The sequence below is a fragment of the Homo sapiens genome, chromosome 16 (assembly GCF_000001405.40).
Source record: "Homo sapiens chromosome 16, GRCh38.p14 Primary Assembly".
NCBI lineage: Eukaryota > Metazoa > Chordata > Mammalia > Primates > Hominidae > Homo > Homo sapiens.
Window position 1 is genome coordinate 73,224,136 of NC_000016.10, and position 15,989 is coordinate 73,240,124.

General features: G+C 43.0%; 1 protein-coding gene and 1 long non-coding RNA gene across 2 annotated transcripts in view, besides 1 other annotated feature; one reads left to right on the plus strand and one right to left on the minus strand.

The window, feature by feature from the left end:
- ZFHX3 (zinc finger homeobox 3) overlaps window positions 1-15,989 on the minus strand; it is a 1,109,046-nt gene that overhangs the window by 441,251 nt on the left and 651,806 nt on the right. The gene's annotated exons all lie outside the window — the stretch shown is intronic.
- Window positions 8,048-9,247: an enhancer, noted in NCBI's record as "BRD4-independent group 4 enhancer chr16:73266082-73267281 (GRCh37/hg19 assembly coordinates)". NCBI's record gives its function as "activates an origin of replication core promoter dependent on BRD2, P300/CBP, MED14 and CDK7 cofactors, and independent of BRD4, by STARR-seq in HCT116 cells {active_cell/tissue: HCT116}" and the evidence as "EXISTENCE:reporter gene assay evidence [ECO:0000049][PMID:35650434]".
- ZFHX3-AS3 (ZFHX3 antisense RNA 3) lies at window positions 8,646-15,015 on the plus strand. Its single transcript, XR_007065112.1, has 2 exons — window positions 8,646-8,733; window positions 12,664-15,015. It is a non-coding gene; the product is annotated as a ZFHX3 antisense RNA 3 (long non-coding RNA).

Genomic DNA, 15,989 nt, shown 5'->3' on the forward strand with positions numbered 1-15,989 from the left:
ATATACAACACCAAGAGTGAACCCTGATGTGAACTATGGACTTTGGGTGATACTGATGTGTCAATGTAGATTTACCAGTTGTAAGAAATGTGTCCTTCTGGTCGTGGATATTAATAATGGCAGAGACAACACACGTGTGAAGACAGAGAGTAAATGAGAACTCTTTGTCCTGCTTCTCAATTTTGCTGTGAGCCTACACTGCTCGAAAGTGTATTACAAAAAGTAGATTTAGCATCACAATGTACACATAAAATAGTTGGAGGTTTTTCTTGTTCAAACCAGCTACCATATTATGTGGTTATATTTCTTTGCTTGACATGGAGTTTTCCAAGGACAAATCATGAAAAGCAGATGGGCCTCATCTGACCAAGACAAGTCAAGGAACACAAGCTAACATGTCTCAAAGGCTGTTTCTGAGTAAGTGCCTGGCACCATATTTCTAGAGATTTTGCAGAAACGTGGCCAAAAGAGTCTCATTTATAGGAAAAAGGACTCTATTATCTCCTGACAGATGAAATGCTATAGTAGCCATGTAGAATTGTTTGCTAAAAAGATGTCTATTAGGTGTCTTTTTCAAACACAGGCTCATGTATGGAAACCTGAATGTTTCAACCAAATGGACAAAGATAATGAGGGTGTAACAGTAACTGGCACAAGGTCAAAAAGGAAAGTTGCTTGACGTGAACACAGACTACCTTCCACGATCTTCTGCTTGGAAAGGCTGAATGGTGGAGGTGGCTGAATTGCAGAATGCTCTGATTTAGAGATACCTCTTAAAGCTTAAGCTGGTTTTCCTAAACTTCAATCACCTGCCTATCACCTTCATGATTTTGCCCTATTTCTGTGTCACCTTCACTGTGATTATTTTTCTTGCAATAGACTCACACTTTGATTTAAATAGATTTAGCCTCATCCTAAGAGATAATATCTATGAAATCATGAGATTATGTACTGGCTATATATTTTTATATATGCATACATGTTAAAATTAAAAAATTATTAGTGTACTGCCAAGTCTTGTCTTTCACATCACCATGGGTATGTATTACACACTTGGAGAGGTACTAGTTTAAAGAATCCTTTTTTTGGGACAAATACGGAAAATATGACTGTCTACAATAGAGAGTAAACATTTGAGGCTTATTATTCTGAACAGCCCTATAGGCTATAAATCAAGCCAGGTTTTAAAAGATTTGAGGGCCTGGTGTGGTGGCTCACACTTGTAATCCCAGCACCTTGTGAGGCCGAGGTGAGAGGAATGCTTGAGTCCAGGAGTTTGAGACTAGCCTGGGCAACATAGGGAGATCTTGCTGGTATGGTGGCACACACCCATGGTACCAGCTACTCAGGAAGTTAAAGTGGGAGCGTCATTTGAGCCCGGGAGGTTGAGGCTGCAGTGAGCTGTGATCACACAACTGCCTTCCAGCTTGGGTGATGGAGCAAGACCCTGTCTCAAAATAAAAAATAAAAAAATAAAAAAATTGAAAAGATTTGAATAAATGTCTAGAGGGCATATCCGCCACAAGCTGTTCAGGTAGGGGTACTGAAGACACTAACTTGGTCCTTTGATGTGATGTCATGACCCATGAACACTGTGTTCTGCATAGTATCATCTGAACACAGGCTGAATAGTGGCCCATATGAATTTTTACTCCCACCTAACGTTGCATTGCTTGTCTGTGGGCTCCTTAAGCAACAGCCACTTCACTAACTCACTGAACTGACAGTCACCGTCCATTCCCTTTGGAAGTCCTATTGACCGACACCTACTACACTCCACACAGTCCCAGGTAATATCCTACACTCTCGAGCACCTGAGCTCCTGGTCCCAGAAGCTGAGATGTATCCTTCCTAGGAGTCCAATGTGTTTGCCCCCAAGCCTCTTCATGGAAGTAATTCTTGTTCATAAAATACACGACTTAATGAAATAAAATATAAACTGGGGACATAGGGGCACAAAAAGAGTTGCTTCTGTGACAGCTAAACTAGCTCTGTGGAAACACTCAGGTCAGTCACTATAAATAGCCATGTAGGCAGGACAACTGTAACTGAAGGATTCTGCCCTCAGGGCCTCCCAGGTGCCTCAAAATCTCCCTTCCTGTCAAAGAAATGGAAACAGGAAACTGTAGACAAGCAACAGGGAGCTGGTTCCTGCAATAAGACAGCGCGGAACTCTAAGTGGATCACTCACAGAAACGGCTTCGTCCTACATCTAAGAATCTGTGAGTGAATGTACACATGTTGTTCTAAGCTGACATGTTTAAAGCGCATGCTATTTTAAAAAGTGCGCTCCTGCTTTAGTCAACATTTAAAATTAATTGAGCAAGTACGGGCTCATGAGAGGTTTCCTATGAGCACGTATGAAAGCTGTTTTCACTGCTGGGCCTGAAATATTAGGCATATGTGTCTCGGCCTTGGCCTGTCTCATGGGATGTGAGCTCCCCAAAGACAGAGCGTGTATTGTAGCCACCTTTGCTGATTGCACAGAGAATAAGGCCTTGTAGTTATGGATCAGTGTTCTTACACTTGAACTACAGTGTCTTTGTTTTCATATATTTGAATTCTTCCAAATTGATGGTACTTCCCACCTTAATCTTACATATTTTTTTCTCATTGCCAATGACATCAGTCTGTTTGGGATAAGGAAATGGCTTTGATTGCACTGTTCATTCGTCCAGGATTGGCTAGTCAGTGTGAAGCAGAGGAGGGATCTTCTAGCGCCTTCACGTGACTGACGTATGGCTTGGCCAATGAAGTATTTCATACTAGAATATTCCACGAATAGGGGCTATAGGATAGTGAAGTAATTCATCACGTGTATTTAAAGTTGAATTTACCGATATTTTATGGTATTAGATATTATTTCTATTAACATTTTATGCTGAAATTACAGAATGATTCGTGAGTACTGAATTTTTGATTGCTTTTACACTTTCTGGGACACTATTAAACTTGATTTACGTTAATAGCACTGTAAGAAGATATTAACAATGAATTTCCAAAAGCACTTAGCATCTCATAATTGGAGTTAAATGACAAAAAAAATGAGGAGATAATAAAGTAAAGAGAGAAAAGGAGAGAGAAAGTTTTGACAATATTCTTTTTAACCTGTGGTTCTTAATAAGATTTTTGCAGGATTGTTTTAGGTTAGCAAAGAATCAAATCCCCGATCAGGAGAGATGACGCTGATTTATTAAAGGAGTTTTATAATACAGAATAAAGACCAAGCTCCAGGTAGAGTGCAGAACTTTCTACTTATAGGAGAGAAAATTTTCTGATTTTCAGAGTAGGAAGGAAACTTCAATTACCACCTTTTTCTTCCTTCCATGGTGACTAGAAGATAATTTAATTTTTTTAAGAAAAGGAATTGATTTGGTCATAGCTGCTGGATTACAGAGAGGTAGGCTTATAAGGCAAAAACATCCAAGCTAGACCGGGCGCAGTGGCTGACATCTGTAATCCGAGGACTTTGGGAGGTCGAGGCAGGTGGATTGATTGAGCTCACGAGCCCGAGACCAGCCTGGGCAACATGGTGAAACCACATATCTACTAAAAATCCAAAAATTATCCAGGTGTGATGGTGTGAGCATGTAATCCCAGCTACTCAGGAGGCTGAGGCATGATAATCATTTGAACCAGGGAGGCAGAGATTGCAGTGAGTCGAGATTGCACCACTGCACTTCAGCCTGAGCAACAGAGCAAGATTCTGTCTCAAAAAAAAAAAAAAAAAAAAAAAAAGACATCGAAGCTGAAACAACAATAACAACAATTATTATAACAAATTTTATTTAGCCTTCATTATGTATAGACTCTATACTAAGCAACTGACACCTATAACTTTATTTAACCTTCACAACCTCCCTATGTATTAGGCACTATTATTATCTCCATTTTAAAGATAAGGAGAATGAGAACCAGAGAAAGTAAATGACTTTAGCACGTAGTGCCATCAGGACTTAAAGCCAGGCAGTCTGGCTCCTATACAAGTACTTAGCCATCATGCTTTTTGGAGCATAACAACTAAGTTATTGATAATCTGGTTAACATTGAAGCCACATTACATATGGCTTTTGCAGGCCTTATGTGCTTTTACCTACAAGGGCCCCTTCCTTTCTAAAAATTATTAAACTTGTATTTTATGACTGTAGTGGTATAAAGATAAATATTAAAATTAAAAATATTATGTGTTAAAACATTTTCTTTGACCTAAAAGTTTACTCTTAAAATGAGTTTAAAAGAAACCAAGGCCAGGCATGGTGGCTCACGCGTATAATCCCAGCACTTTGGGAGGCCCAGGTGGGCAGATCATTCTAGGTCAGAAGTTCCAGACCAGCCTAGGCAACATGGTGAAACCTCATCTCTACGAAAAATACAAAAATTAACCAGGTGTAGTGACATGTGCCTGTATTCCCAGCTACTTGGGAGGCTGAGGTGGGAGGATTGCTTGAGCCTGGGAGGTCAAGGCTGCAGTTGGTTGTGACTGCACCATTGTACTCCAGCATGGGTGACAGAGGGAGACCCTGTCTCAAAAAACAAGACCAAATGAAAACCACTTTCAAGGGCCCTTAAAAATGTTGTGGGCCTGAAGCACTGAGTTACTGTAGATCATGGAGAAGTCAGCCTTGGTTAGCATCACAGATAAAGCCAAGACCAGAACCTGGGATTACGTGGTCTCATTTCTCATGACAATGGAATCTAGAAAACTATGGTGACAGAGTAAGCGTAATAAACAGGAGATAAGGAAACAGCTGGTTTCCTTCTCCCTTGTGTTTTTGGAAGACGTCGTGGCTTGGGTCCCTGCCTGCTATTTTAGGACTACAACTCCAGAACTGATGTGGTCTCCATGGACTTTACCTCAATATACTCGGTATATACTCAATATACTCAATATGTTCAGGATTCTTGACTGATAATCCTGCCTGTAAGTAATAGAATATTAGAGATGGTCAGTATTGTCAGAGATAACAAGATCTGCTGCTCACCTAGGATTCTGACTTGTGCTACTGCTTGGGAAGTGATTCTCTGGAAACACAAAGAAAGCCCAACCAAGCTCCCCAGCCCTCTCTGCTCACAGCAACAAACTGGGGATTCTGTCTTAAACAGAAATATGATTTATCCATTAGAATCTTTCCCCAACCCAGTGACACTTTGCTTGACCCATTGTTCTTGGAGCTAAAGGACTTGAGGTCACTCTGAGAAGGTGTTGAATCATAAGATTTGGTCCAGACTTGAATATATTTTGAATAAAAGTAATGAGGGAGAAAATAACTATCTATTTTTAGTTTCCAAATTTTTCCTCAACTCCCATCTGGATATAGGAGAAAGTCAAACATTACAATGTATAACTACATTATAGTTTTAGGGTTAATATGTTTTATGATAAAAGTAATCTCAATTAAGGTCTGCTTGAACTGGGTCCCTTTCATGAAAGTCTCTCAGTGGTAGATAGACAGAATGAGATTTACATGCAGACGTTATCTGAAATTCCCCTCTTTTAAGGGCAGCATGGTTCAAAAGGGACTAGTAACTCATGCTTTTATTCAGTAAGGAAAATATCGCAGAAATAAAGGATAAAATAGTTTCCTTGTAATTTTTAATTCATCTAAAATCATGTGATTCTAGTGACTTTAGTTCATAAGACTCTTGAAAGAGGACAGAGAACCAAATAATATAGTCTTTATAGACTTCATTTGGAAATTAGGTATTATTTACCTTAAAAATGATTGAGAATGTGAATCTAGGATTCTGCTAAGATTACAGCTAACAAAAGGCACAAAGTAAAGTAAAAAGGGATTGGTAACTGATAAGCAAATGATAGATGATTGAGTGGATAGATACATGAATGGATTAATGAATAGATAGAAAAGCAGATAGATGGATAATACAGATGAATGAATTAATAGAGACACAAATGGATAGACAAGGAGATGACAGATAATAGAAAGATATTCATAGATCAATACATGGTTAGTAAATGAGTAGCGGGATGCACATGGATGAATAGATGACTTGGAAGCAGAATAAATAGTTGATATATAAATGAATATTGGTAGATGAATGAATAGATGCTAGAGATTGATGAATGCAAGGGTGAATTTGGAATGAAATTGCAGATAGATGCAAGGGTATGACAATATTATGATTGTACCCAACTGGAATGGAATACCAATGAAGATAATGACATTTCTTTTCATGGAACTATTTTAAATAGTTTAACTGTTTTAGGAACGTATGGACTGGTGGCAGAAAATTAGTCAGTCTCGAAGAGCCCTGAAGTTTCATAATAAGTGTCTCAATGATATAAAAAAAATACATGAGTGTGCCATGATTAGGCCACTTCTGAATCCTCCCTAGTGCCCCATTCTGGCCCATTTGGCCTCTTTAGAACACCATGCAAATGGAGGAGAAAAGTGACTTCACTGGGCAGCCTTTATGCATCCTTGGTGATACACAAAAGTCATCCCTTTTTGCCTCTTCTTAACTCTGATATTCACATGTACCTTCATCAGTAGACCTACTCGGGAAGGCCTGGTGCTATAATTAATCCATGTCACAGGCAGATGTAAGATTGGCAGAATTTATGAGTGGGTTTGAGCTACTGTGATGAGTAGGGGCACCTCAGCCCGTGTGATATAAATTCCTCTGCTAATTGGATTGCTAGAGCTAATCAGAAGCCAGAAAAGGAATAAAAAAATCAGTGTTCCTGCTGCCGCTGCTGCTGCTGGCTGATAAAGCAGACAGCTCTTTTCAGGACAGGAGGGCGGGGGGAGCTGGAATTGAATCCTCATGCGGAGGTCTCACTCTAGATAGCTATCTCAAAGGCGACACAGCCCTTCTGTCGCCAGGCCAGGAGGAGACAGATAGGGCAATGGGAGAAAGGGTGATGTGAGCCCAGAGAGATTGTATTACCAAATTGCAAAAACGGAGTGAATGGGGAGAGATGAAAGGAGCCGAGACCAAGACTGGGAGCGGGGACCACCATCCAATGGCCTGAGAGAGCTGGAAGGCTTTTCTGAAATGAGGTACCACTCCCCGGGACACAGGTGCATGCCCAGCATCACTGTGGGATATGACTTCAGGAATCTGAGGCCTCATCCCCAAAGCCAAGAGGCGCTTGCAGGAGAAAGCCATCTATATCTTGTCGTTTAGCTTCACACACTCTTGCGTTCACTTTCCTGAAGACGAGAGAACCGAGGGGACAATGCAAATCCCATTCAATACTAGGGCAAGTGCAATTCAGGGAGCTTAGCTGAACTGCTCAAGATGTAGGGCAAGTGAGGGAAAAAGACCACGTTTAAAACCTCTCACCTGCTGGAAAACCATCAGCGCATAGCAGCTGAGAGGGAACGCTCTATCTGTGCTCACTCTTTCTACATTTTGGAAGCAGCGAGGGGGTGATAAGGCAAGTTCGTGTTCATTGTCCTGCATACCTTTTCCTCCAGGGATCAATAGTTCGTTCCAGCTGAGAGCGTGAAATGTGTCTAACAGGGACACAGGTTAGATCCTGGTGGTCCTTATCTCTACTTTGCTTGTCTAAGTCTACGCCACTTCTCCAAGAAGCAAATGTATCCCTAATATTGGGTTTCACCACGCCGAGTGCCCTTCAGTTCTCGTTAAATTCCATTCTTTGTCTCCTGTATTCTTTTCTCTCTGTGATTACCACTTCTTTGCATATTTCTTCTGGAGCTCTCTACATAGGCTCCAAAGCCCTGCCTTGGAGGTAAATCCTTAGCCTCGATGAGTAGGCAGCAAGCCCCTCTTGCACACAACAAAGACTTCTATTTTTTTTTCTATCTTTTGGGCGACACGATAAAAAATAACCCTGTATTTATGCAAATTGCAAAGTAGCGTGTGATAATGAAAACAAAACAGTGCTGGCCCGCAGCCAAGACATGGCGCTGACGGGAGCTCCCCGACCATTTGGCTCTTGATTCTTCGGGGAAAGCAGCTGTAGAGAAATGAGAATACAGGACCCCCTCCTCACACTCGCACACCCTGGTTCGCACGCATTCCGGTACCCGTCACCTCGGAGCCAGCGAGACCTGGGATCCAAATGCGGTTCTGCCTCCTCCGGCCGTGGAGCACTGCAGTGTCGTCCTCCACGAGCCTCCCTGCCCCTGCTCCTGATTCCCTTTCAGGAATTTACAAACATTTTCCCCAGATCAATATCCGTATTGATTATTCATTGTGAGTGAGTCGTGTGTCTTTGGTGATCCAGCTTGCAGAGGTAGCAGGCAAAGGCTGCTGCGGGGGAAAAAAATAACAGAAGGCGAGAGGGACCCAGCTCTTGCTGGGTCTGCGGCTGTCGGCAACACAGAAGGGAAGAGAAAAAGAGAAAAGCACCTCAAAACCAAGGAATGGACACGGGTGGAAGAGAAAGAGGGAGCAATAGCAAGAAAAAAGGAATCGATGACTGGACATCTGGTCCCAGGGAATCTCGATGGCTTGGAGGAAACCCCCATCTTGGGTCTGCTGTTACGTGCAGGACGCAATGGACTTTGCTCTGGGAGTGCAAAGTGACTCACAGTTTTGGTATCTCCTACGTAAGAGCTTTGGGGGGATTCCTTGGCTTGCTGACAGGCAAGGAAGACAGCGGCAGCAGTGAGGTAAAACACGATTACTTCCAACTGCCTTGCGGAGGAGGCGCAGTCGTGCGGTGTGACTTGGACAGCTTGCTGCTCTCTGATGGCACGCGGAGGGAGAATAATTAAAAAGGCCAGCATCACTTACTAAGTGAGTAAACACAGAGCCGTTCCAATCGTGCTCTCCAGCTAATGAGAAGCTGTAATTTCTTATACTTCAAGGCAAGATGAGACAGTGATGGGTTCAGTGGAGGGTGTGTTTGCGTGGATATGGGGGTGGGGGGTAGTGGTGGTGGTAGAGTTAGATCGACTAATTGTTGGCAATGTTTAAGAAAGGGATTACTGGAAAAGACAGTGAAATGATGACAGGAAAACATCTTGGACCAGAGCCAAAAAAAAAAAAAAAAAAAATCGAGGCAAATCAAGTCTGCAGCTCGGAGAAAACACCCGTCGCTCCGGTGGGAAGCTCCGACGGGAATTGCTCGATGTTCCTTAGCCAAGGACGGAATATCGTGTGAGCACAAGGGGACAGAATTAGGGACCACCAGAGTCCAGAGGAAAGAGCTACGGTATGCCAGGGTATACAGTGATGTCATACATTGAGAAAAAAAATGAAAACCCCAAAACCAGAACAGATCAAACCAAAACAATAAAAACCAACCTGTGTCCTTTCCTTTTTATGGGAGGCTTCTGCTTCAGTTTATTAAAAGCAACCCTCAAATGTACCTTCTGATAGCAGGAGCTGCTGATTCTCTGTTTGTCTGCAGAAGCTGCTGCAGGGTTACTGAAAGACGCTGGAAAAAGGAGGTTGAGGAAATTAAGTTTTCCATTGGTTGGGTTTCTGGCAAACGTGCCAGGCGATCGTCTGCCATTTGGACAGCCATGGGGGTGCCAGTTTGGGATTCCTCTTCTGTTGTCACCCAGCTTTGGCTTGGTGATTTTAATACAGTGTTCCAAACACACATGACAAAGTGGGGACCTCAAGTAATAAAACGAGCTGGATTTTCTTTCTTTCTGGGTGTTCAGTTAACTGAGCTAAATGGTTCTCTTTCACATGAGTGGAATTGGGGCTCTTTAAGGATTTCTGGGACTGGAAGGTCACCCTTTTAAGATATCCTCCTTCTTTTCTGATTGAGGTTTTAATTTCACATTGCTTCCTTATTTAGGACTCCCCAGTACATTCCAAGTTTCCTGAGCAGGAGAAATAGATTTTGCAGAAGTGAGCCACGGAGACCCAAATGAGGAGGAAATAAACCAGCTGTGGATGACTTGGGCACCCTCCATCGCATGTGTTTGGCATTCATAGAGACCTGTGTCTGCAGTGTGTGTGTGTGCGTGTGTGAAGGTATCGTGGCAAATGTGTGCTTGTATGAGTGTGGCTCCGTGTCTATGTGTCTCTCCGAGAGGGAGGGAAAGGGAGCGAAGTCAGAACAGGCGGAATGTTTGGGTATTTATGTAATTCATGCAGAGAATGTTCAATGCTGCAAGGCAGACAGTCACCCATCCCTGGACTCTGTGGCTGTGGAGGGCCTATACAGACCTGATCTGAATGTTAAATGCAGGAGATGAAATTAGCATACTAACCAAGGATGTCAACCCCTCCTCACAATCAGTAAATGGCTGTCTCCTCTCTCTAAAGCCGGCACAGCCATGCGCGCCAGCCACTTAACTATGTCCCCTGTCAGATCCTTTTTTGTGTTTGTTTTTTTGTTTTTATTTTTTGATGAAAGACTGGAAATTCATTAATGAGGAGGGAAGGAAGAGCTTCAAGGGGCTGTAATGAAAACAAATGATCCTCTTTAAACCTCATGATGGCCAAAGCCAGGCGGGCGGGGATTGCTTTCTGCTCTGGGGTTGGAGAATAGGAAATTCCACAGACAGCAGACCACTTGAGGAGATCCAAAGAATGATTTGCTTGGGAATATTTCTTCTGTGTGGCACAGATCGGCCATGACCGGTGTGTCTGTGTTAATAATATCGAGAATGAACTTTATCTTCCTAACTGTAAAAGAGAAGTGTTGTCTACCAGATGTTTCTCCACTGGGCTCAAGGTTATCAAAGTTTCTTGACCTTGTTGGGGTAGGAAGTGTCTTCTGGACTTTTTTGGCCAATTGCCTCAGCCTTTGAAGTGATAGAAATTTTTCTTTTGGGCTGTGCATTAGGCCTTCCCCAAAGATAGTACTTGCTTTTATTTTAATCTCTATCATACAAAGAAGTACACAGAGAAAAAGATTTGATGTCCACTTTTAGAGAATCCCATCCTAAAGCAGACAATGCTGTCTAGAAGCTGAGAATCAGGCATATTAGCCCCAGTATTTAAGCTGGGAAATGTTTACTTACTTTTTCTTTCTTTATTTATTTACTTTTTTTGAGACGGAGTCTCACTCTATCAACCAGGCTGGAGTGCAGTGGTGCAATCTCGGCTCACTGCAACCTCTGTCTCCTAGGTTCAAGCAATTCTCCTGCCTCAGCCTCCTGAGTAGCTGGGATTACAGGTGCCCACCACCACGCCTGGCAAATCTTTTGTATTTTTAGTAGAGGCAGGGTTTCCCTGTGTTCACCAGGATGGTCTCGATCTCCTGACCTCATCATCCTCCTGCCTCAGCCTCCCAAAGTGCTGGGACTACAGGCACTTTGCCTACATGGTGAGGCACCATGCCCGGCCACTTTTTCTTTATTTTAACCACTCTATCCTCAGAAACAAACTTCTTTCTTCCCACTGTACTTCACTGATTTGGCTTTAAACCAGGGGTCATAACTCGGAAATCTCCAGGGACCTGTGCACACCAGCCTGAAGAGATGATGAGGAGGAGTGGGGCTTGGGATGAAATGGACCGGAGAGGCACTCGGCTCTGGTCACCTGATGTATGGGGGAATAAAAGTTGTGCCATGTGTTGCCTGATCTTCCACTGTTCCAAGAGGTGGTAGAGATTGGTATGTGTAAATATCAAATATATCAATTGTTTTTTTTTTTAGATAGCATCTCGCTCTGTCGCCCATGCTGGAGTGCAGTGGTGCAATCATGGCTCACTGCAGCCTTGACCTCCTGGGCTCAAGCAATCCTCCCATCAGCCTCCAGAGCGGCTGGGACTATAGGCATGCGCCACCACGCTAGGCAAAGTTTCGTATTTTTTGAAGCCACCAGGTTTCACCATGTTGCCCAGGCTAGTCTTGAACTCCTGGGCTCAAGCAATCTGCCCACCTAGGCTTCCCAAAGGGCTGGGATTATAGGCGTGAGCCATTGCACCTGGCCCAAATATATCAATCTTTTAAAAACCATCTATGAGTTAAGTGAAACATATTTGCAAAGACAGTTTTAGCCTACAGACACTACTCTGTAGTCTTTGTGTTAGTCTAAAGTTCCTAGAACAGGTGTTTTGGCTTTTATTCTATTTTGTATTATTTAAAAATATAGATATTAGCAAGGACACGGCATACGTCAAGGGAGTATGTGTTTTGCTGGACTAAGAGGGAAATGCTAATTTAAAACAATAAAGAGAGGAAGGGAATGGATGTCAGTGTGGCCTGCATGCCCTGTGGTCAACATCATTTTAGCAGGCATGATGTAATGCCATCTTTCTTTAAGGTAGTGATCTCTGGCTGGGCGCAGTGGCTCACGCCTGTAATCCCAGCCCTTTGCAAGGCCGAGGCAGGTGGATCGCTTGAGATCAGGAGTTGGAGACCAGCCTGGCCAACACAGAGAAACCCCATCTCTACAAAGAATTAGCCAGGCCTGGTGGCACATGTCTGTAATCCCAGCTACTTGCGGGGCTGAAGCACGGGAATTGCTGAATTGCTTGAGCCTGAGAGGCAGAGGTTGTAGTGAGCTGAGATCATGCCACTGCACCCCAGCCTGGGCAACAGAGCAAGACTCCACCTTAAAAAAAAAATAAGTAGTGATCTCTACAAAGGGTTTTTCCTCCACAAAGGGTCATAACTGGGAAGCTTAAATATCTAAAAAGAAATGCATTCACATAGTTTTGATGCAGATCTACATCCATTTTAAAAACAATTAGTGATTAGTGTCAGTTCAACATTTTTCTTTTTCATTTTAAAAAATGTTCTTCTTACCCATCCACAGCACTCTTCATCTCAAGTGAGTAAGAAAAAAAAGATAGAAATCCCCAGAAGAGAGAGATCCTGCCTGTAGTTTGGAAGAAGCCACGCGGTACCTGAGATAACTTCAACAGCAAAGGGCACTTCAGCAAATGGTGAAGACAGCAAGAAGGCTCCTCTTCTCACACAATGACATCTCACAATCGTGCAGGGCTTTCCAATTTCCACGGTGCTCTTCACACATATTACCCTGTTTAATTCTCACTACAACCAGTGATATCGGCGAGACAGATAGTCTTTAGCTAACTTTACAGATGAGGGTACTCAGGCTCACAGAGAGAGGACTTGCCTAAGGTTGAAAGATAATAAGAGACAGCTGCAGGTCTTCTGGGTCTTAATCTGGTGCCATTTTAGTATTTTTCATAGGTTCTTATAAAAAACATCCTCTTTAGAACCCGTGACTTAAAGGTGCCTTGATTCTTAAAAAATAAAATTCTTTAGAGATAGGGTCTTGCTGTGTTGTCCACGCTGGAGTGGTCACAGCTCACTGCAGCCTTATTCTCCTGGGATCAAGTAATCCTCTCACCTCAGCCTCTTAAGTAGCTGGGACTACAGGTGCACACCACTATGCCCAGCTAATTTTTTTTAAAAGATGGGGTTTTGCCATGTTGTCTACCCTGGACTGAGACTCCTGCCCTCAAGCAAATCCTCCTCCAAATTGCTGGAATTATGGGTGTGAGCCACCAAATGCAGCCTTTTTTTTTTTTTTTTTTTTTTTGGAGAGAACACGGTCTTGCTTTGTAGCTTGAGCTAGTATTGAACTCCTGGCCTCAAGCTATCTTCCTGCCTCAGCCTCCTAAAGTGCTGGGATTACAGGCATGAGCCACTATGCCCACCCGCTTCCTTGATTCTTGATCCATGCTCATCCCCGCCTCACTTCTTCACCATGAGGTTTTTTTTCTCATAGCCTATGTTATTTGTAGTTATGTGCACTTTGAAAATACTTCCTGTATCCTGCCAGCGAGGAAGAACCACAGCTAATTTCCACTGGCAAAGGCAGAAGCCATCCTTAACTTCCCATTTTCCTCTATTTGTTCCTCCTTTCCTTGAAAGTCAAGTTTACCCATGAGCTGGTCTACATTTGTACTATTTTTACTTCTTCACTCCGCTTTGCATCTCTACCCAGGGCTATCTGCTTTCATTCCTACTTTCCCATTAAAACTGCTCTAAGTCATTAACAACCAATTCCACTGTGCCTTCCTCTCTGAATCATTGTATTCAGTGACCACTCCCTCTCGCAAGACGTCTCCTCTGTCATACCTGGCATCATTCTATTCCTTCTTCATTTCTGGTTACCTCCTCTCTAGCTTCATGTCAGACTTATCTTCCTTTATTAATGCCTTAAATATTAGTGTTTCTGAAGAGGGTTTCTGTGGCCACCTTCTATTCTTAACTGTAAACACTTTGTTTTGTGTAATGTAAAGCCTTGGCTTCAATGATCATCTATAGGCTGATCATCAATTATCATCTCCATCCCAAACCACTCTCCTGAATTCAACCCAGGATCTCTGGCTCCCTGCTGTTACCTCCTTGGGATGGTCCACGAGCCCTTCAATTCAGGGCACCCCAAATCATCCCCAAACCTGCCTCCCTTCACCCTCTTCTTTTTCTCCCCCAGCTGCTCTTCAAATTCTCTCATTTCTTTCCCTATTTCTATTTTCTCTTTTTTATTGTATTCCTATCGCTCTTCTCTTATTTTCCTAGTGGCTTTTCCAAAGGCCTAACTGTTCTCATCATTCTCAGATATGCCTTGCCCACAATGCCTTCTCTGTACTATGTCTAATTGACCTACAGAAAGTGCAAATGTGATTATCTTGCTCGCCTTTGTGAGATCCTTCTGAGGATCCCACCTTCTTACATGGCCTTCCAGGCTGTTCATGACCTGTGTGCTGCCTCTCCCTCGCCTGCTCTCTTCTAACTCGTCCATTGCCCATGCTCTGCTTCTAGGTCATAAAATGCCCCATAACTCTTTCATGCCTCTAGGATTCCATATGAGGTTCCTGCTTCCTGGAACGTTCACCTCGGCTTCCTTCATTTGACCAACTCCTCCTCCCCTTTCAAGACTGTTCCAGCAAGAAGCATTTCTCCCCCGACCGAAACCTCCCATGCTGGGTTACGTGCTACTGCAAGACCCTATTCCTGCTTCCCTCTCCCACAGCATGACTCCACTTTCACAATGACCAAGTTTTCCCATTTGACCATGAGACACATGGAGGCAGAGACCGTGCCCTTCATCCCTGTCTTCCCAGCACCCAGCACAGATCCCAAAATAAACTGGGTGCTTAATAAATTAATATTACTATTTTTATTCCAAGTATCATAAATAGTATTTTTCCAGCTGTAAGATTACAGGCCTCCAAAATAATCAAGCTGAGGGAAATACAGCGACCGTTTCCCATAGAGAAAAAAGGATTTCCTATTGGGCAATTCTCACCTACATCACTTTTTTGACTTCTTTCAGGCGAGAGACAAGCAGTGGGGTGGTCTTTAGGTGTTTGCTGATGTGGTAGAAACTTTGGAGTTAATTAGAAGCTCTGGCTAAGGCCGAACTTCCTTTGCAGAGTTCCTGGGAGGAAACACTAAATTAACAGTTCAAGGTTACTATTAGAAAAATGGCCTGTTTCCCTATGTTATGCCTCAGAGAGTTTGTTCTTCTCTCTGCCATTTCTAAGATGTTTCCATTTTCCTTTTTACCTGGGTAGGTTTGCCACCCTAAGCCCAGTCATTCCAACACAGGTGAAAGCTCTTGAGGTCAGGGACTGATTCTTCGCCTATCTTCCAGCAGCGGTAGATTCTGGGGCACTCAATTAGTACCTGGTGGAGTTGAATAGTGAGAAAATCTGCTCATCACAGAAGAAGGAACGGGGATGATTTCCTAAGTTCCCATTTTCCACAAAGCAGAAAATGGCATGAGATCAGTAGTACCAGACCTCCCTGGCAGTGCTAGAAATATCTCAAGATACTATGAGCAATTTCTAAATTTGGAAATGCACTGATTCTTGTTATTTGCAGTAGTTATGCTCTGTAAAGTTGCCACAGACACTGAGTTAGTGAATACCGAACCATCGCTCCTAGGGGAAATAGAGAATTAGGTTCCTGCAAGCCTCTGGTCACAATGTTTTCATCAATGAATCAATACAGAGCCTCGTTTTATGTGTGTTCCTGTTGAAGATTTAAGAACCTTATTTTGTGTGTGTGTGTGTGTGTGTGTGTGTGTGTATATCTATACATATAGTTACTTAACATTGAACTCATGGCCAATAACACTATAATGCATACCTGAATGAAGCT